This window comes from Homo sapiens, chromosome 1, assembly GCF_000001405.40.
Source record: "Homo sapiens chromosome 1, GRCh38.p14 Primary Assembly".
NCBI classification, from domain to species: Eukaryota; Metazoa; Chordata; class Mammalia; order Primates; family Hominidae; genus Homo; species Homo sapiens.
In genome coordinates, this window is record NC_000001.11 from 27,501,483 (window position 1) to 27,521,048 (window position 19,566).

A 19,566-nucleotide genomic window follows, 5' to 3' on the forward strand; every position below is an offset into this window, starting at 1 on the left:
CACAGAGAGGGGAATAGCACACACCAGGGCCTGTTTGAGGTTTGGAGGGTGAGGGGAGGGAACTTAGAGGATGGATCAGTAGGTGCAGCAAACCACCGTGGCACACGAATGCCTATGTAACAAACCTGCACGTTCTGCACATGTATCCCATTTTTTTTAGAAGAAATAAAAAAAAAAAAGAAACGACTGGAGAGTAACATGTCTTGGGTCAGTTTTATGTTAGGTTCCATACTAGGCACTGCAGGTATAGAAGTAGAAAAATATGGCTGGGCGCGGTGGCTTAAGCCTGTAATCCGAGCACTTTGGGAGGCCGAGGCGGGTGGATCACCTGAGGTCAGGAGTTCAAGACCAGCCTGACAAACATGGAGAAACCCCGTTCTCTACTAAAAGTACAAAATTAGCCGGGCATGGTGGCACATGTCTGTAATCCCAGCTAGTCGGGAGGCTGAGGCAGGAGAATCGCTTGAACCCACGTGGCAGAGGTTGTGGTGAGCCGAGATCACGCCATCGCACTCTAGCCTGGGCAACAAGAGCAAACTCCACCTCAAAAAAAAAAAAAAAAAAGAAGTAGAAAAATATTGACCGAGTGCAGTGGCTCATGCCTGTAATCCCAAATCTCAGCACTTTGGGAGGCCAAGGCATGTGGATCTCCTGAGGTTGGGAGTTCGAGACCAGCCTGACCAACATGGAGAAACCCCATCTCTACGAAAAATACAAAATTAGCTGGGCATGGTGGCGCATGCCTATAATCCCAGCTACTCAGGAGGCTGAGGCAGGAGAATCACTTGAACCCGGGAGGTGGAGGTTGGGGTGAGCCGAGATCGCACCACTGCACTCCAGCCTGGGCAACAAGAGCAAAACTCCGTCTCAAAAAAAAAAAAAAGAAAAAGAAAAATATTAGGCCCTCAGGGAGCTTACAGACTTGGGGCAAGGAAATGAAAAGGAATAAGCAAAACAAAAATATGGATATAAAAAATCCATAGGGGGTTAGGTGTGGCAGCTCATGCCTGTAATCCCAGCACATAGTGAGAATCCCATCTCTACAAAAAAAAAAAAGAAGAAGGGCTTCGGGAGCACCAGGAAGAGACCTAAACCGGTCTGGAGGAGTCAGTAGAGGAGTAGTTGACATCTAGGCTGAGACTTAAAGACCAGAGCCAGATCGTGTCACCTAGTGCCATACCAACCTAGGTATAAATTCAACATAAAAACAAAACTCACCAGAAAATAAGACCAAGAAGCTCCAATAAAGTTCTGAATTTTCCCATGAGCACTATTTCAGTGATTTTTTGTTTGCTTGTTTTATTGAGATGAAGTCTCACTCTGTTGCCCAGGCCGGAGTGAGTGCAGTGGCTGGATCTCGGCTCACTGCAACCCCCACCTCCTAGGTTCAAGCAATTCTCTTGCCTCAGCCACTGGAGTAGCTGGGATTATAGGCACCCACGACCATGCCCGGCTAATTTTTGTATTTTTAGTAGAGACAGGGTGTCACCATGTTTGCCAGGCTGGTCTCGAACTCCTAACCTCAGGTGATCCGCCCGCCTCCCAAAGTGCTGTGATTATAGGCATGAGCCACCGCACCCAGCCTATTTCAGTGATTTTTAAAAATTATTGAATGTCAAACCATTTGAAAAAAAAGTCTTGAGTATCCCTGCTTTGCTGGGCTCTGAACACTTGTGTGTTCTGCTCCTTGAATCTGACAAGGGAACAGGTTTGAGACAGCCGGGAGAGGCAGGCAGGTGGTTGGAATTTCATGTGCAAAGGCCCAGAGGCAAGAGAAAAAATGATGGCTCACTGGGGGAAAAGGACATCCTTTGATGAGGGCTGGTGAGTGGGGAGAGGTGGAGACAGAGGATTGGACTGGATTCTGGGGGTGCTGGGGAGGCATGGAAGAGTTCTAACAGAGATATGTCACAATCAAATGTCCCTTTTGCAGGATCACTCTGAATTTTTTTTTTTTTTTTTGAGATGGAGCCTGGCTCTGTTGTCCAGGCTGGAATGCAGTGGCGCGATCTCGGCTCACTGCAGTCTCCGCCTCCCGGGTTCAAGCAATTCTCCTGCCTCAGCCTTCCAAGTAGCTGGGACTACAGGTGCGCACCACCACGCCTGGCTAATTTTTGTATTTTTAGTAGAGACGCGGTTTCACCATGTTGGCCAGGATGATCTCGATCTCTTGACCTCGTGATCTGCCTGCCTCGGCCTCTCAGAGTGCTGGGATTACAGGCGTGAGCCACCGCGCCCAGCTCACTCTGAATATTTTGAGCGACCTATTTATGATTTGAATTTATTCATTCGAGAAGCACCCCAACATACCTCCTATATGTCAGGCATGGACCCAGGAACTGTGACTACAACAGATAATTAGGGGTTGGTTCCTCAGACAGGACAAAGGGCAGGACACTGAGTGCCACCTCTACAGAGGGGTCTGACTGGATAAAGACAAAGTGTGAAAGTGTATGACTTTCACAAAACAAGAAAGCCAAGCCCCGTGTGGGGTGACAGGGTGCAGGGATGGGAGATGGCACTCAGGGAGCTAGCACTGGACAGGCCAGTGATTCCGAAGACAGAGGATAAAGGAACGAAAGCAGGAAGAGAGGGAATGAGTTATGGGTGAAATATTCGGATCCTGTAGCCTCCATAGAAGGTGGCCAAGTGGGCAGGGGGCAAAGTCCCAGCCAAGCCCCTCAGCACCCCCATGTGTTCCCAGCCCTGCTGAGCCCTGCAGCTCGTCTCCTCCTGGCTCCAAAAGTCAGACCAAACCCCGGAGAACAGAGGCGGGTGAGGAGGGGGCGGTGGGGTACAAGCCCAGGCCTCTCACCCCAGCAAAGCCTGCCTTCCCAGTGCCTGGGGCCAACCCAGCTGAGAAGCCAGAGGTTACAGGGAAAGGATTAAGGAGTTGCTTGCTTTTTTACCCAAACTCTGCTGTATTTCTCTGTCTTTCTTCAATCTCTCTCTCTCTCTCTTTTTTTTTAAAGAAAAATATTCCTGTACACGCACCCAGAGGCTTTTGCAGGAGGCGGCTGTTGGAGAACTGGGAAAACAAGCCAAGAAACAAGAGAGAGGAAAAAGACCACGCCTCGCCTGGCAGATTCCTAATGGCCCAGGAGACCTGAGGCTTTACAGTGGGAGGCCGGTGGGGGCTGGCTCGGGTGGGAGGGAAGGGCAGGCCGAAGGACAGCCACTTGCTGGCTGGTGACCTTGGGCGGGATACTGCCTGCTTCCCTCTGGTGAGAATGGGGAGGAGGGAGGCAGGGGCAGGCCTGGCCGGCTGAGGTCACAGGAAGGCCCCTTCCAGCCTGAAACGCGATCTCGGGATGTGGGGCCTGCCAACCTGCAGCGACCCTGGGCCAGCAGAGATGAAAGGCTGCCTGTCCCCAGCTTCCGGACCCCCAAGGCCCCACTGCCTCAAAGTTGGAGAGCAGCAGAGCTGTGTTGCCACTGGCTGGGGCCAGCTGCTGGGCTCCCCACCCCACCTTATGTCATCCAACCCTCCCTTCCCTGTTTTGCAGAGGACACTCAGGCCCAGAGAGGGTGGTGACCTGCCTGAGGTCACACAGCAAGCGGGAGTCTGAGCCAAGGCTCACCACAGTCTTTGGACTCCAAGTCCAGGCCTCCTGCCTTTCCCAGAAACTTGGCTGCCTGGGGGCTTACCCTGGGGAGTTGGAGAGAACTAGGGCTGGGGAGGACACTTAGGAGCTGTGTCTGTTTGAAGTCACAACTTAATGTTGACTAAAGTGCTTTTTTTTTAAAAGACAAAAAGAAAATTCCCAGCCCCTGCCATAAGCCTGGACTTGCTCACTGGCAGGGGAAGGAATGCAGCTCTGGCCACCACAGCTGCTGGTGGCCAGCTGCAGCCTCAGCTTCTGCTGCTCCCGCCCCAGCCGGCAAAGGGACAAAGGCCTCTTCTCAGGCCTGTCCTCTCCAGCCCCCTGGATCAGCTGGCAGAACATTGACGGAGCCTCCTCTGTCACAGACCTGCTAAGTCATTGTTCCTCTCTGGGCCTTAGTGCCGTTTCTGTAAAATGGGGGCATAGTATCTGCCTGACCTACTTCTCAGCACTGTTTTGAGGCTCCAAGTAAAGTTCTGGAAATACAAAGCTCTCAGCGCCTCCTTCCACCTGCGGGTCTGCCTTCTCACTGTGCCCTTTGCCTCGACCACCCCTCCCTCCCTCATGCTTTCCCTGGCCAGCCCCAACTCACTCAGCTCAGCTCAGTGGGACCATCACCTGCTCTAAAACCTGCCCTCAACTTCTGAAGGAGGCACCTTCAGAAGAAAAAAGACGGCAGTGCTGTATTTATCATGGTTGTACATAATTAAATAATTGGCCAGTGTGGTGCCTCAGGCCTGTAATCCCAACACTTTGGGAGGCTGAGGTGGGAGGATTACTTGAAGCCAGGTGTTCAAGACCAGCCTGGGCAACATGGCAAAACCCTGTCTCTACAAAAAATAAATTAGCTGGGCATGGTGGCATGTGCCTGTAGTCCCTGCTACTCGGGAGGCTGAGGTGGTAGGATGGATTGAGCCTGGGAGGTTGAGGAGTGACCTGCAGTGAGCTGTAACTGTGCCACTGAACTCCAGCCTGGGTGACGGAGTGAGGCCCTGTCTCAAACATAAAAATAAAAATAAATTAAATAGGTCAGGGGTGGCGGTGGCTCACACCTGTAATCCCAGCACTTTGGGAGGCTGAGGCAGACAGATCACCTGAGGCCAGGAGTTTGAGACCAGCCTGGCCAAAATGGTGAAACCCCGTCTCTACTAAAAGTACAAAAATTAGCCAGGCATGGTGGCACACGCCTGTAGTCTCAGCTACTCAGGAGGCTGAGGCAGGAGAGTCGCTTGAATCCAGGAGACGGAGTTTGCAGTGAGCCAAGATCGCGCCACTGCACTCTAGCCTGGGCAACAGAGCAAGACTCCGTCTCAATAATAATAATAATGAATTAAATAATTAATTGTGCAATTGGATCCTCGTTAAAATGTAAACTCTAATAATAGCTAATGTCAAATGCTGACCCGGGGCCCAGGACTTTACATTTAACCCATTTAATCTGCATGGTAGGTACTGTTGGTATCGCCATCTTACAGATGAAGAAACAGACAATGAGAGGTTCACTCACTCACCTGAAGTCACAGCAAGTTGGAGGCTGAGCCAGGACTCACCACAAATAAGTTGCAAATCAGGATTCAAATGCAGACCGCCGGCTATAACCATTACATCACTAATGACACGGGTTTAGTTTGTGCCCTGATGTATCCCCGGTTCCCGGCACAGCATCTGGCATACAGCAGGTGCTCCATATATGTTAGATAAATACATACACAAATAGGTGATGAATATAAATGAGTATTTGGAGGAGAATAAAGCACCCATCAGGAGTGAATTTTGCAGGTGCCACATGTGGGGCTGAGTCATGGTAGGCGGCTAGCGGGTGCCCAGTATGTTGTTAAAAACTAATTACTGGAGCTGGACGCAGTGCCTTATGCCTCTCATCCCAGCATTTTGGGAGGCCAAGGCAGGAGGATTGCTTGAGCCCAGGAGTTTAATACCAGTCTGGGCAACATAGACCCCATCTCTCATGTTGACCAGGCTGATCTTGAACTCCTGATCTTAAATGATCTGCCTGCCTTGGCCTCTCAAAGTGCTGGGATTATAAGTGTGAGCCACTGCACCCGGCTTTTTTTTTTTTTTTTTTTTTTTTTGAGACAGGGTCTCACTCTCTTGCACAGACTAGAGTACAGTGGCACAATCAGGGTTCATTGTAGCCTCAACCTCCCAGGCTCCCACCTCAGTCTCCTGAGTAGCTGGAACTACAGGTGTGTGCTACCACGCCTGGCCTGCGAGACCCCATCTCTACAAAAAATTTAAAAAATTGGCCGAACGCAGTGGCTCACGCCTGTAATCCTAGCATTTTGGGAGGCCAAGGCAGGTGGATCATGAGGTCAGGGGTTTGAGCCTGACCTACATGGTGAAACCCCGTCTCTACTAAAAATACAAAAATTAGCTGGGCATGGTGGCACGTGCCTGTAATCCCAGCTACTCAGGTGGCTGAGGCAGGAGAATTGCTTGAACCCAGGAGGCCGAGATCGCGCCATTGCACTCTAGCCTGGGTGACAGAGCAAGACTCCATCTCAAAAAAAAATAAAAATAAAAATAAAAAAAAGTAGCCAAGGCTGGGCATGGTGGCTTATGCCTGTAATCTGAGCACTTTGGGAGGCCAAGGTGGGTGGATCGCTCGAGCCCAGGAGTTCCAGAACAGCCTGGGCAACATGGCAAGACCCCATCTCTACAAAAATTTCAAAAAATGAGCGAGCATGGTGGAGCACACCTGTAGTCTCAGCTACTCAGGAGGCTGATGTGGGAGAATCACCTGAGCCTGGGGAGAAGTCGAGCCTGCAGTGAGCCCTGATCGCGCCACTGCACTCCAGCCTGGGAGACAGAGTGAAACCCTATCTCAAAAAACAAAAAACAAAACGAAATACAAAACCTAATAATTGGGGTTCCTTTTGGAGCACACAGGCAAAATCCTGGGACATCAGCTTGGACTCCTCCCTCCACTTGTCCACTGGAACCAATCAGTCCCCAGGTTCCGCTCGGTATCTCCCAGATGCCTACCTTCCTCTTCATCCCTCAACCCCCATCTTTCTCTTGGATTTTTACAGCCACTCCCACACAGGTTTCTCTGCCTCTAATTTCTTCTCTTCAAAGAGGGCCTCTGAAAACAGAAAGCTAATCGTAAGCATCATCTTTCTTTACCCCACACCCCCATTAGTGAACCTCCCATACCGCCCCCCACTGCCATTGCTCTCTGGATAAAGCCCACACTCCTCAACCAAGGCTCCCCCAACCCAACCCCTGCCTCACCTCATGGTGAGGCCCTCCAGCCCTCACCTCATGGCCCTCTGCTCAAGTTGCCACATGTCCTTTGCTCAGGCTACTCTAGGTGGCAGAAGTTCAACTCATGGAAGCAGACAGCACTGAGTTGAAATCCCAGTTTTGCCGCTTACTAGCTGTGTGTCTCAAAGCCTCAGCTGCCACATCTGGAGAATGGCCATAATTACACAATTTCACAAAGTCATCGTGACAATTAAATGAATACATAAGGTGCTGAGCAAACTACCTCACACTCCTGGTAGTCACTATAATTCTTATACTTTCCTCTGCCAAAAGGAGCACTTCTTTTTTTTTTTTTTTTTTAATTTTTGAGACAGAGTTTTGCTCTGTCACCAGGCTGGAGTGCAGTGGCATGATCTCAGCTCGTTGCAACCTCCGCCTCCCAGGTTCAAGTGATTCCCCTGCCTCAGCCTCCCGAGTAGCTGGGACTACAAGGCACCCACCACCATGCCCTGCTAATTTTTTTTTCTTGTATTTTAGTAGAGACGGGGTTTCACCATGTTGGCCAGGATGGTCTCGATCTTCTGACCTCGTGATCCGCCCGCCTTGGCCTCCCAAAGTGCTGGGATTACAGGCATGAGCCATCGCGCCTGGCTCCTTTTTGTTTCCTTTAGAGACGGTCTCGCTATGTTGGCCAGGTTGCTCTTGAACTCCTGGCCTCAAGCAGTCCTCCCACCTCAGCCTCCCAAAGTGCTAGGGTTAAAGGCATGAGCCACCATGCCTGGCCTCAAAGACCTTTTCTTACTGGCAGTCTTACTGATTTGTTATGGCCCAGCTCAGATGTCACTGCTCAGAGGAAATTTTCCTTGATATCCACTCACCATTCCCCAAGTGAAATCAGTCTCACTTTGTATACTCAATTGCACTTTGCACCACTATAAAGCACGTGTAATACTGTTGGCTGTGTGCACCATCTTTCCCCCACTGCCCCAAGAGTTCCCAGAGAGTGGGAACAACACCCTTCTTAACTCTAGCACAGGGCCTGGCATGCAGCAGGTACTCAATGTTGGTTGAATTGAATGGAGTCACCACCGTCAGTCTTTCCTGAGCGCCTTGCAGGGAAGAGGCCTGACTGATGAGACAGCTGAACTCTGTGGGTACTTGGTTGCCTGAGGCCCCCCACTCCAGCTCTGTTTTGGGGTATATTGGGATGTATGTGGGAGTGCGAGTAGGTGGAGGAAACTCCTGACCTCTGAGCTCTTTCTTTCCTGTGGGACTTGTCAGCCCTCCAAGAGAGGGAGAGAGGGAAGAGGAGATGAGGAGGTCCAGGTGCTGAGCAGGGGTGGGGTGGGGCTATAGCAGGAGCTGAGGCGTGGGTGGGAGCTGGCAAACTCCAGCTCCTCTAAGACCAGGGCTGGGCCTGGCAGGACGGGGCCTAACAGCCCGAGTCCCCACCTGCAATGCCCCACCTCATCCTGGCACCTGGATTAAGTGACTTTTCAAGTTGTAAAAAAACTATATCTTGATTGCAAAGAAGCAGAATCCAAGCCTGGCCTTGCCTTGTTGCTGAGCTGGGAGAAGGGGGGCGTGTTCCCTTTTATTCTCCTTTTTGTGTAGGCAACACCTTGTAGTCCTGAGCACGTCAAAGAGGGTAATATTAGGTTTTTGCAAACCCTGGTTAAAGTCACATTATCCCTGACCTTTGTTTCCAACCTCTTGGCCCTTCTCTCACTTCACTGTCTCCCTGACTTTGCTTCTTCTGGCCTTTCCTCAGCTCTTCCAACACACCTTTCCCCTTCTCCCCTCTGGGCTTTCACATATACTGTTTTCTCTGTCTTGAATGTTTCCCCCACTGCCTGATAATTTTGTTTTATGGTTAGTGCTTTCAATGCCTCAGAAATCTTTGCTTAGGCCGGGAAGAGTGGCTCACACCTGTAGTCATAGCACTTTGGGAGGCCGAGGCAGGAGGACTGCTTAACCCCAGGAGTCCAAGGCTGCAGTCAACCATGATTATGCCGCTGCACTCCAGTTTGGGCAACAGAGCAAGACTCTTGTCTCTAAAACACGGCAACAACAACAACAACAAAAGAAATCTTTGCCTATCTCCAGGTCATGAAAATATTCCCATATGTTTTCTTTTTTTTTTGAGACAGATCTTGCTCTGTTGCCCAGGCTGGAGTGCAGTGGTGAGATCTTGGCTCACTGCAACCTCCGCCTCCTGGGTTCAAGTGATTCTTGTGCCTCAGCTTCCCAAGCAGCTGAGACTACAGGCACACGCCACCACGCCTGGCTAATTTTTGTATTTTTAGTAGAGACAGGTTTTCACCCTATTGGTCAGGCTGGTCTCGAACTTCTGACCTGAGGTGATCCACCCGCCTCGGCTTCCCAAAATGCTGGGATTACAGGCATGAGCCACTGAGCCCAGCCCTGTATGTTTTCTTCTATAAGATTTAAAGTGTTTGTGTTCGCATTTAGGTGCATGATTCATGTTGAATTAATTTTTGTGCAGTGTGAGGTAGGGGTTGAGAATCATTCCCACCCTGTTAACTCTTATTCTTTACAGTTCAGCTGATACCCCACCTCCTTTGAGAAGTCTTCCTTGACTACTCCTAAACTAGATCAGGTCATCCTACTCCATACGTCATAACACCTTCCACTTGATTGTAGCACTTGTCACAACTGTAATTAAACAATTATTTGTGTAATTCCTTGTTTAATGTCTCATCCTCCCTACTATACTACAGCCCTGTGAGCTCAGTGCTTGTGACTGTCTTTTTAAAAAATCCATTTTAGGCTGGGAGCGGTGGCTCACGCCTATAATCCCAGCACTTTGGGAGGCCAAGGTGGGCGGATCACCTGAGATCAGGAGTTCGAGACCAGCCTGACCAACATGGTGAAGCCATGTCTCTACTAAAAATACAAAATTAGGCAGGCATGGTGGCACGTGTCTGTAATCCCAGCTACTCGGGAGGCTGAGGCAGGAGAATCACTTGAACCCAGGAGGCAGAGGTTGCGGTGAGTGGAGATCATGCCATTGCACTCCAGCCTGGACAACAAGAGCAAAACTCCATCTCAAAATAAAAAAAATCCATTTTAGGCTGGGCGCAGTGGCTCACGCCTGTAATCCCAGCACTTTGGGAGGCCGAGGCAGTTGTATCACCTGAGGTCAGGAGTTCAAGACCAGCCGGGTCCACATGGCAAAACTCCATCTCTACTAAAAATACAAAAATTAGCCAGGTGTGGTGGCAACTGCCTGTAGTCCCAGCTAATTGGGAGGCTGAGGCAGGAGAATCACTTGAACCCAGGAGGCAAAGGTTGCAGTGAGCTGAGATCACGCCACTGCACCCTGGCCTGGGCGACAGAGCAAGACTCTGTCTCAAAAAAACACACAAAAAAATCAGTCCAGGTGTAGTGGGTCACACCTGTAAATCCAAGCACTTTGGGAGGCTGAGGCGGGCAGATCATGAGGTCAAGAGATCGAGACCATCCTGGCCAACATGGAGAAACCCCGTCTCTACTAAAAATACAAAAATTATCTGTGCGTGGTGGCAAGCACCTGTAGTCCTAGCTACTGGGGAGGCTGAGGCAGGAGAATCACTTGAACCCAGGAGGTGGAGGTTGCAGTGAGCCGAGATTGTGCCACTGCACTCCAGCCTGGCGAAAGAGCGAGAGTCCGTCTCAAAAAAATAAAATAAAATAAATAAAATATATAACTGAAATATGCATGCAGAAAAGTACACATATCAAAACATACACTTTGATATGAATTTTCACAAACTGAACACACTCATATAACCAGTCCCCAGATCAAGATGCAGAACATTTCCTGTACCCAGAAGCCCCCTCCTGTTTCTTCCAGCAATGATTCTTTCTTGCTTTCTTTTTTTTTTTTTTAGACAAGAGTCTTGCTCTGTGGCCCAGGCTGGAGTGCAGTCGCGTGATCTCTGCTCACTGCAATCTCCGCCTCCCGGGTTCAAGTGATTCTCCCTGCCTCAGCTTCCTGAGTAGCTGGGATTGCAAGCATGTGCCACCACACCTGGCTAATTTTTATATTTTTAGTGGAGACGGGGTTTTGCCATGTTGACCAGGTTGGTCTCAAACTCCTGACCTCAGGTGATCCACCCACCTCGGCCCCCCAGAGTGCTGGGATTACAGGCATGAGCCACCGCACCTGGCCTTATGATTGTCTTTCTTACCCTTATATTCTCAGCACTTGGAACAGAGCCTGGAATTAGTAGGTTCTCAGACAAATCGTTGTTGAATGAATGAGTTGGGTGGCCATGCTTAATTCTTCCAAGAACTCGACCTGGAATCCTGTCTGAGCTCTAGCCCCAGCTTTGTGTGACCTTGAGGAGGTCCATTCTGCTTGCTTTCTTTCTTTTTTTTTGAGACGGAGTTTTGCTCTTGTTGCCCAGTCTGGAGTGCAATGGCGTGATATCAGCTCACTGCGACCTCTGCCTCCCAGGTTCAAACGATTCTCCTGCCTCAGCCCCCTGAGTAGCAGGCATTACAGGCGCCCACCACCATGTCCGGCTAATTTTTGTATTTTTAGTAGAGACGGGGTTTCACCATGTTGGCCAGGCTGGTCTCGAACTCCTGACCTCGTGATCCGCCCGCCTCGGCCTCCCAAAGTGCTGGGATTACAGGCGTGAGCCACAGCGCCCTGCCCCCTTTTTGTTTTCTTTAGAGACAGTCTGCTTTCAGGTCTTAGTGTGCTTGTCTGTAAGATGGGAGTGGATGGCCAGGCGCGGTGGCTCATGCCTGTAATCCTAAGACTTTGGGAAGCTGAGGCAGGCAGATCACCTGAGGTCAGGAGTTCCAGACCAGCCTGGCCAACATAGTGAAACCTCATCTCTACTAAAAATACAAAAATTAGCCAGGCGTGGTGGCAGATGCCTGTAATCCCAGCTACTCAGGAGTCTGAGGCAGGAGAATCGCTTGAACTCGGGAGGCGGAGGTTGCTGTGAGCCGAGATCTCGCCATTGCACTCCAGCCTGGGCTACAAGTACGAAACTCCGTCTCAAAAAAAAAAAAAAAAAGATGGGAGTGGATGGAGGGTGATTGGGCTAACAATCTCTTTGGGACTTTTCCAGATATGGCCTTTGGGGCAGAATTAACTCCTGAGTTTCTGACAGTACATTCTCAGGTACTATTCTGGTCATCTGTCTGAAAATGAGGAGTACCTGGGAGGGTTGGAAACTTGATCTCACACAGTGTGAGAAGCCTGGGTCTGAGAGTTGGAAGACCTGGATTTGAGTCCTGGCCTGGCCTCTGGGTGACCTTAGGCAAGTCCCTTCCCCTCCCCGGGCCTCTTGGGTTTTCTCATTTAGCAAGTGACAGGGAGGTTGACCTCCAAAGCTTGAAGAATAGTCATGCTGATTCCAGGCCTCTCAGTGCTAAGGTTCAGTTCCTGATGCATGGGCAACCCTCTGGCTGTGGCCTCCTCCCTGCCAGGCACTGCTGGGGGAGAGGGAAGCACAGGAAGTGATACCGCCCAGGGAAAGGGAACTCATAGTTTGGCCAGGCGGACCCGGTGTTCCGCCAGGAACCAAATGGAAAATGGGCTGATGGTCCAAGTGATTATCTGTGTGTGGGGGTGAAAGGACAGGAGCCTGAGTGTTCCGAGTCGGGGTAGGGGACCTGGGGGTAAGACTGGGGCAAAGGCAGAGATGGCTTCCTGGGGGAGAAGCCTTTGGAAATTGGCAGGGCAACCAAGGGGTGCTTCCCAGAGATGGGAGGAGGCAGGAAGAAGAAAATTGGGTCCAGGTGACCACAGAGCAGCAGCAGCTTGGCCGGGGAGTGGGAGAGGCGGGGCTGGTGGGAGCTTGGGCAGGCGCCTCACAGCTGGGCCTTGGAGGGGAAGTGGTGGGGCAGCCTCTGCCTCGGTCCTGGGAAAGTGCCATCTTCTCAAGCCACAGACTGGGAAGGAGGACATAGCGTGAGGCTCAGGCCAGAGGTCCCTCTCTCTGAACGGCCCCCGGGGCCCTGCCCAGCTGTCCTGGCACTGCAGGACAGAGGGTGAGGAGCAGGGTCAAGCCCCAGTCCCTAGCTCCTTCCACATGTTCTGCCCAGGTGCCTTCAGATTGGATTCCATTTCTACCTCTTTCTGGCTTTTCGCCCAGAGCGCACCCAGAGCACCTTCACTGTATTCCTGTCCTCAGGCAGATGTTTGAGGCAGGGGGTTGCTAGCCAAGTTAAGGAACTGAGTTATAACTATGATCATGGTAACAGGCAGCAGAGCCCATGGTTAAGAGCTTGACTCTCAGGGTTCAACTCCCAGTTCTGCCACTCATGAGCTATGCAATCGTAGGCAAGTTTCTTAACCTTTCTGTGCCTCAGTCTCATCATCTGAAAAGTGAGATAATAATATTGCTTACATCATAGGGTCATTGTGAGGATTAAATGAGAAAATATATGTAAAACATTTAGATCTAAAGCCTCCTCAGACGGAGTAAAATGAACAGGCTTTGGAGTCACTCCTCTAGATGGGCCTTAGTTTCTTTATCTTTAAAATGGGGTGCCAGGGCCAAGCGCAGTGGCTCACACCTGTAATCCCAGCACTTTGGGAGGCCAAGGCGGGTGGATCACTTGGGGTCAGGAGTTCGAAACCAGCCTGGCCAACATGGTGAAACCCTGTCTCTATTAAAAATACGAAAATTAGCCAGGCATGGTGGAATGCGCCGATAGTCTCAGCTACTTGGGAGGCTGAAGCAGGAGAATCACTTGAACCTGGGAGGCGGAGGTTGCAGTGAGCCGAGATCATGCCACTGCACTCCAGCCTGGGCAACAGAGAGAGACTCCATCTCAAAAAAAAAATAAATAAAATAAAATAAAATAAAATAGGGCAAGGCAGGGCTCAGTGGCTCATGCCTGTAATTCCAGCACTTTGGGAGGCTAAGGTAGGAGGATCACTTGAGTGCAGGAGTTTGAGACCATCTTGGTCAAAATAGTGAGACCCCGTCAATACAAACAAACAAACAAACAAAACAAAAAACCCTCTACTCAGGAGGCTGAGGTGGGAGGATTGTTTGAGCCCAGGAATTTGAGACTGCAGTGGGCTATGGTCACACCACTACACTCCACCCTGTCCAGCCTGGATGACAGAGCAAGACCCTGTCTCTAAAAAAATAAATAAATGGATAGATAGATAGATAGATAGAAGATAATAGATACAATGGAGCTAATAATTCCTGCCTTTCAGGGCATTTGTGAAGATTAGTGAGGGCAAACTCGTCCCTAATAAGAGTATAGCAGCAGGCCAGGCACAGTGGCTCACGCCTGTAATCACAGCACTTTGGGAGGCTGAGACAGGTGAATCACTTGAGCCCAGGAGTTTGAGACCAGCCTGAGCCACATGGTGAAACCCTGTCTCTACAAAAAATACAAAAATAAGCCAGGCATGTTACTCCAGCCTGGGTGACAGAGCTAGACCTTGTCTCAAAAACAAAAAGAAAAAAAAAGAGTACACCAGAGGCCCTTCTCCTCCCACATTCCCTGCCTGCCCCATTGCCTGCGTGTCAAGCTGTATCCACCCACCCCTGCTGCCCTTGGCCACCCCTCAGGCCTAGGAATCTACCCTGGAAGTGTGGTTTGGATGAGGGAAGGGCCCACCCAGGCCCTGGAAACTAGCTCAGCGAAATTTAGGATCCTGGGTACTCAGAGGTGGTCTAGAAAGAGGTAACGGTGGTCTCTGGGTGGGTATGTCCTCTTGGCCTCTCTGACTCCTCACTCCATGGGGAGGCACCTAGTGGAGGAGGGCCAGGGTGGCCTTCTAAAACACTGGGGCCCCTGTCTCCACGGTTGCCTGGGCCTAAGGTCTGTACTAATTAAGAGTAAATGACAAACCCTGGCACAGCACATAGCTGACACTTGGGAAATAGTAAAAATGGCTGCCATTCATTATCTTCACAACAACCCTGAAAGGCAGGTACTATTGAGCTCATTTTGAAGATGAAGAGCTAAGACTCAGAGAGGTGAAGTCATTTGCTATATCTAAGGGGAGAACTGGGACTCAAAGCTGAATCTGTCTGACTCCAACGGGGCTGCTAGCCAAGGGATGGGAATCCCAAAGCCACCAGCAGATCCTTTTTGGGGCTGTGCCAGAGCTAGGTGCTGGAGTGGGTATGGTATCTGTCCCAGGATAATGACCAGACCCACACAGGATACGGAGGCTCAATTTGCCCTAAGTAACCTTTAAGCCCATCTCAACCTCCGGCAGCATTCTAGCTAAAGTTATTTATTCATTCTACACACATTTGCACACCGTGACTTGTGTGTGGAGCCATGTGCTGGGACCTGGAGACCCTGGATGAGTTAGTCTAGGCCTCTGTCCTCCAAGTGCTGCTAGTCTGGTAGGGGAGGCAAATACATTGCTAGAACACCTTACTGTAGAGCAGTGTGGAATAAGGATTAAGCATATAAATGGTGGCAACAAATTGCCTGGGTTCAAATCCCAGCTCTATCACTGATTATGTTTGTGAAATGAGCTAGTTACTTAACCTTTCTGAGTCTCAGTTTCACATGAGCAAAATGGGAGTGATGACACTTTCTAATAATATAACCATGAAGGTTAAATATGATCACGAACATGGAATGCTTATGTAAAGCCTAGCACATAGAAAGAAGCATTCAGTGAGTATTAGCTATCTGGAATTAAATGTAATGGGGCATAGGCTGGGCACAGTGGCTCACGCCTATAATTCCAGCACTTTGGGAGGCCAAGGCGGGCGGATTACCTGAGGTCAGGAGTTCGAGCCCAGCCTGGGCAACATGACGAAACCTCGTCTCTACTAAAAATGCAAAAATTAGCCAGGCATGGCGGAGTGCACCTGTAATCCCAGCTACTCAGGAGGCCGAGGCAGGAGAATTGCTTGAACCTGGGAGGCAGTGGTTGCAGTGAGCCGAGATCCCACCACTGTACTCCAGCCTGGGCAACAGAGCAAGACTCTGTTTCAAAAAATAAATAAATAAAAATGAATTGTAATGGGGCATAGAAGAGAAACTCATTTTTGTTGGGGAGGTGGGGGTCCAGAGAGGCTTCTTAGAGAAAAGGAACATCTGTGTTGGGCTCTGAAGGATGAAGAGTTCACCCGGAAAAGTGGCAGAGGGCATTCCAGGAGGAATGTATTTTGTGGACAAAGGCCCAGGGATATGGAAGGATATGACCTGTTTGGGTGTGGCTGAACACAGAGTTGGCTGAGAGGAGTGGTAGGAAATGAGGTTCGAAAGGCAGTTTTGAGGGCCTCCAGTGCCTTGCTATTGAGGGCAGACTTTAAAGGACTGGGGAAACAGAGCAGGAGTTTAAGGGCTGGGAAGGGACAGGATTATACCTATTTTATTTTTATTATTTATTTATTTAGAGATGGAGTCTTGCCCTGTTGCCCAGGCTGGAGTGCAGTGGTGCAGTCTGCTCACTGCAACCTCCTCCTCCCAGCTTCAAGCGATTCTCCTGCCTCAGCCTCCCAAGTAGCTGGGATTATAGGCATGCACTACCACGCCCACCTAATTTTTTTGTATCTTTAGTAGAGACGGGGTTTTGCCGTGTGGGGCAGGCTGGGTCTCGATCTCCTGACCTCGTGATCTACCCTCCACGGCCTCTCAAAGTGTTGGGATTACAGGCGTGAGCCACGGTGCCTGGCCTTATTGCGCCTATTTTAGAAAGGTGATTCTAGCCGCAGTGTGGAGCGTGAGCTGTACGAGGAGAGCCTGGCTGTCGGGGAGCAGATCTGAGCACGCTCCTCACCAGCCCTAGCTCAGGCTCGGACCTCTCTGACTTCCTGCCTTCCCACGTGCTCTTGCCTCTGCTTAGAGTATCTTTCCCTTGACTTTGCCTGGCTAACTCCTTGCCCACCTTCAGGTCTCAGTTTAGCCAGCACTTCCACCCGGAAGCTCTACTAGACACCCCTCCCAGTCCAGATTAGATGCTCCTACTTACTCCTCCTCTGTGCTTGCAGACCTGCCCACCTGCCTGCCTCGTCGACTGGACTCTGGCCAAGGGCAGGGACTGTGTGGCACTGCTCACTGCTGTATCCACAAGGCCCTAAGGCATAATGCCTGGAGCCTCAATCCATGATCGGTAGGGAACGAATGAATGGCTAAGCCTGTTGGGGCAGGTGTGATAGTTTGAGTGAAAGTGACAGGGTCTGCGGTGGCAGCGAGGAGAGAAGAGACACGATAGAATTGACGGGACCCAGGAATCATGAGAGGAGAACACAGGGAGAGAAGAAGGAGTTGGTGATGACTCAGAGGTGTTTTTTTTTTCACCTGGGTAAGCCCTGTGCCTCTAACCAAGATAGGAGCCATGGAGGAGGGGGTTGGAGGGAGGGAGGGAGGAGTAGGCCAGGGCAGAGGGGCAGGGCGGAGCCTTACCTTGGTAGGAGACTGGGGCCCTGGCCCAGGCCGTTCCTTGGAGTATTCTTCCCTTCTGGGATGCTGTGCACACTGATGGATCCTCAGCAATGTCTGTGACTGTCCAAATGCTGCCACCTTGACCACTCTAACTCGGCTGCCTCCCCTACAAATTATTCTCTACCAATGCACTCTCTCCACTTCCTCCCAACTCTCATGATTGTAATCGTGTATCCGTTGACTTGTATTTTATTCTCAGTGTGTCTTCCTCACTAGATTGGAAGTTCCATGAAGGCAGGGATCTCGCTGGTTTTATTGACCATGTATACCTGGCAGGCTCCCTGGCACATAGTAGGTGCTCAAAAAATATTTGTTGAATGAATGAGTGATGAATGAATGAATGAATTCTTTGAATGCCATGATAAAGAATTTGACTCTTAGCCTCCAGGAGACGGGGATCCATGGAAAGTTCTAAAGGAAGGCAGTGTCAGGATGCAGCTCGTATTAGAAAGCTCACCCTGGTCGCTGTGTGGAAGATGGATTGGGGAGGGAACGCGGGAGACTAGAGGAGGGGGAATTGAGGAGCCACTGGGGGAGACAAAGACATAGCACTTGGGGCTGGGCCTGGGAGCCCCCCTGCCTGTGAGGGCCCTGAGCCCCCTCCCAGTCCTTCCCCATCCCCCTGCCAGGCCTGTTGTCTCTGAGCCCAGCGGCAGGCGGGCGGTGGGAAGAGCAGGGCTGGCAAAGCTGACACTCACTAATCACGGCCCTCACCCCGGAGCCGCACTAACTGTCTGGTCTCCATGGAGACACGGCAACCTCCGGCCACTTGTTAATGGCAGCTCAACAAGGCTGCAGCGACAGGGACGGGCCTGACCAGCGTGCCCAGCTCCACACTACCTGTCCCAGCCTGGCCCTCTGCAGAAGACCTCAGGGGCACCAGACCTGGGGGACAGGACCGGAGGTCTGGTGGCTGGACGTCTCCCCAACCCCTCCGTGGCCCCGCCTCCCCTGGCACTGCCAAGCAGCGAGAGGGCAGAGGCAGCCTCTGCCCAGGCTGACTCCTCTGCAGGGCTGCTGGGAAGCTGAGCTCATGCAGGTCACCCAGGCAAGGCCAAAGGGCTGGAGGGGGATGGTGAGGAGTGGAGCGGGGACCTGCCCACAGCCCACACACTAGCAGAGTGGAGGAGGGCGTGCTTTGCCTGCCCTGACAACCCTCTGCTCTGCTAGCCTGAGGCAGGGGCCCAGTTGGGAACCATCTGTCCAGAACCTCTTCCCGGTGCACTGTCACTACATCTGAAATGCCACCGTTAGCAACGCACTCCTTCGGGAGGCAGCATGGCATAGCACAAAAAACACTGGTTTTGCCGTCAAGCAGGCTTGGGTGCAAGGCCTGACTCTGTTTCTCTACCTCTAAGCATTGATTTCCCCATCTGTAAAATGGGGGTAATCATTGCACATACAGGCTAACTCTTCCTCTTCCTGGAAACCTGAGCTCATTACCTGTGATGCCTCCCCCAGAATCTTCTTCACCCCCACAAACCAGCAGGGCCTCCTCCACAGTCCCCGGGCTCATCCCACAGCATGCTGCACCTGCCTGTGACTGTCCCACATTTGTCCTTCCCACAGACTGAGCCCTGTGGGGTTGGGCAGAGTGAGCCTCAGGAGAGGGTGGCGAAAGAAACAAAGGAAGGGCATGGGGGCCTCCCTCGGTCTTCTGCCTTTGCACCCTCCTTCAGTGCAGGTTGAAGACTTTCTTTCCTTCTCTCCTTCAGACCTTTGTTCCTCCATCTGTGTGTCTATCCATCCGGCCTGCAAACTCTCTCCAAGCCCTTCCCTTTTGCGGGACCTCAGAGAGGATGCAGATCCCACCCCAAACTAAAGGTGAGGCAGAGACCCAATTCCAGGGCTCTGGACACCTGAGGCACACCCATGGCTGGCTGGGGACCTTGGCACAGCTGCCTCCTCCCTCGGTCACTCCTTAGGCAACACTCCAAGCTGAAAAGGCCCTTGGAGATCATCTCCTCCTTTCCACGACAGCCAGCCAGATGAAGAAACTGAGGCCTGGAGAGCCCAAGATCCCATAGCAGTTCTGTTTTTGAGCTGACAATGTACCAATTATGCGGGCCTGCTGGGGAGGCGGCTTTTGGCTCTCCCGGCCCTGCTGACAGCTGTGTTCCCAGTGGCAGCTGGAATGCTGGTGGGAGGCCTGTCTGGCCTTTGCACCCTGACTCCCCAGGGCAGAGCCAGGTGGCTCTAGTGGGGCCCAGGGCTGGGAGGTGGTGTGGGCAGACAACCCTGAAGGGTGAGTTGGGGCATGGGATGGCTGGAAGAGAAGGGAGGCAGTACTGATTTTGGAGACTAAAGCAGAAGCCCTGAGGTCTTGTTCCAG

General features: G+C 51.3%; 3 annotated features.

Annotated features, from left to right (window-relative positions):
- Positions 2,154 to 2,741: an enhancer, noted in NCBI's record as "H3K27ac-H3K4me1 hESC enhancer chr1:27830147-27830734 (GRCh37/hg19 assembly coordinates)". NCBI's record gives its function as "activates a minimal SCP1, AML or CMV promoter by ChIP-STARR-seq in naive H9 embryonic stem cells {active_cell/tissue: H9 hESC(naive)}" and the evidence as "EXISTENCE:reporter gene assay evidence [ECO:0000049][PMID:30033119]".
- Positions 2,742 to 3,327: an enhancer, noted in NCBI's record as "H3K27ac-H3K4me1 hESC enhancer chr1:27830735-27831320 (GRCh37/hg19 assembly coordinates)". NCBI's record gives its function as "activates a minimal SCP1, AML or CMV promoter by ChIP-STARR-seq in naive H9 embryonic stem cells {active_cell/tissue: H9 hESC(naive)}" and the evidence as "EXISTENCE:reporter gene assay evidence [ECO:0000049][PMID:30033119]".
- Positions 3,328 to 3,914: an enhancer, noted in NCBI's record as "H3K27ac-H3K4me1 hESC enhancer chr1:27831321-27831907 (GRCh37/hg19 assembly coordinates)". NCBI's record gives its function as "activates a minimal SCP1, AML or CMV promoter by ChIP-STARR-seq in naive H9 embryonic stem cells {active_cell/tissue: H9 hESC(naive)}" and the evidence as "EXISTENCE:reporter gene assay evidence [ECO:0000049][PMID:30033119]".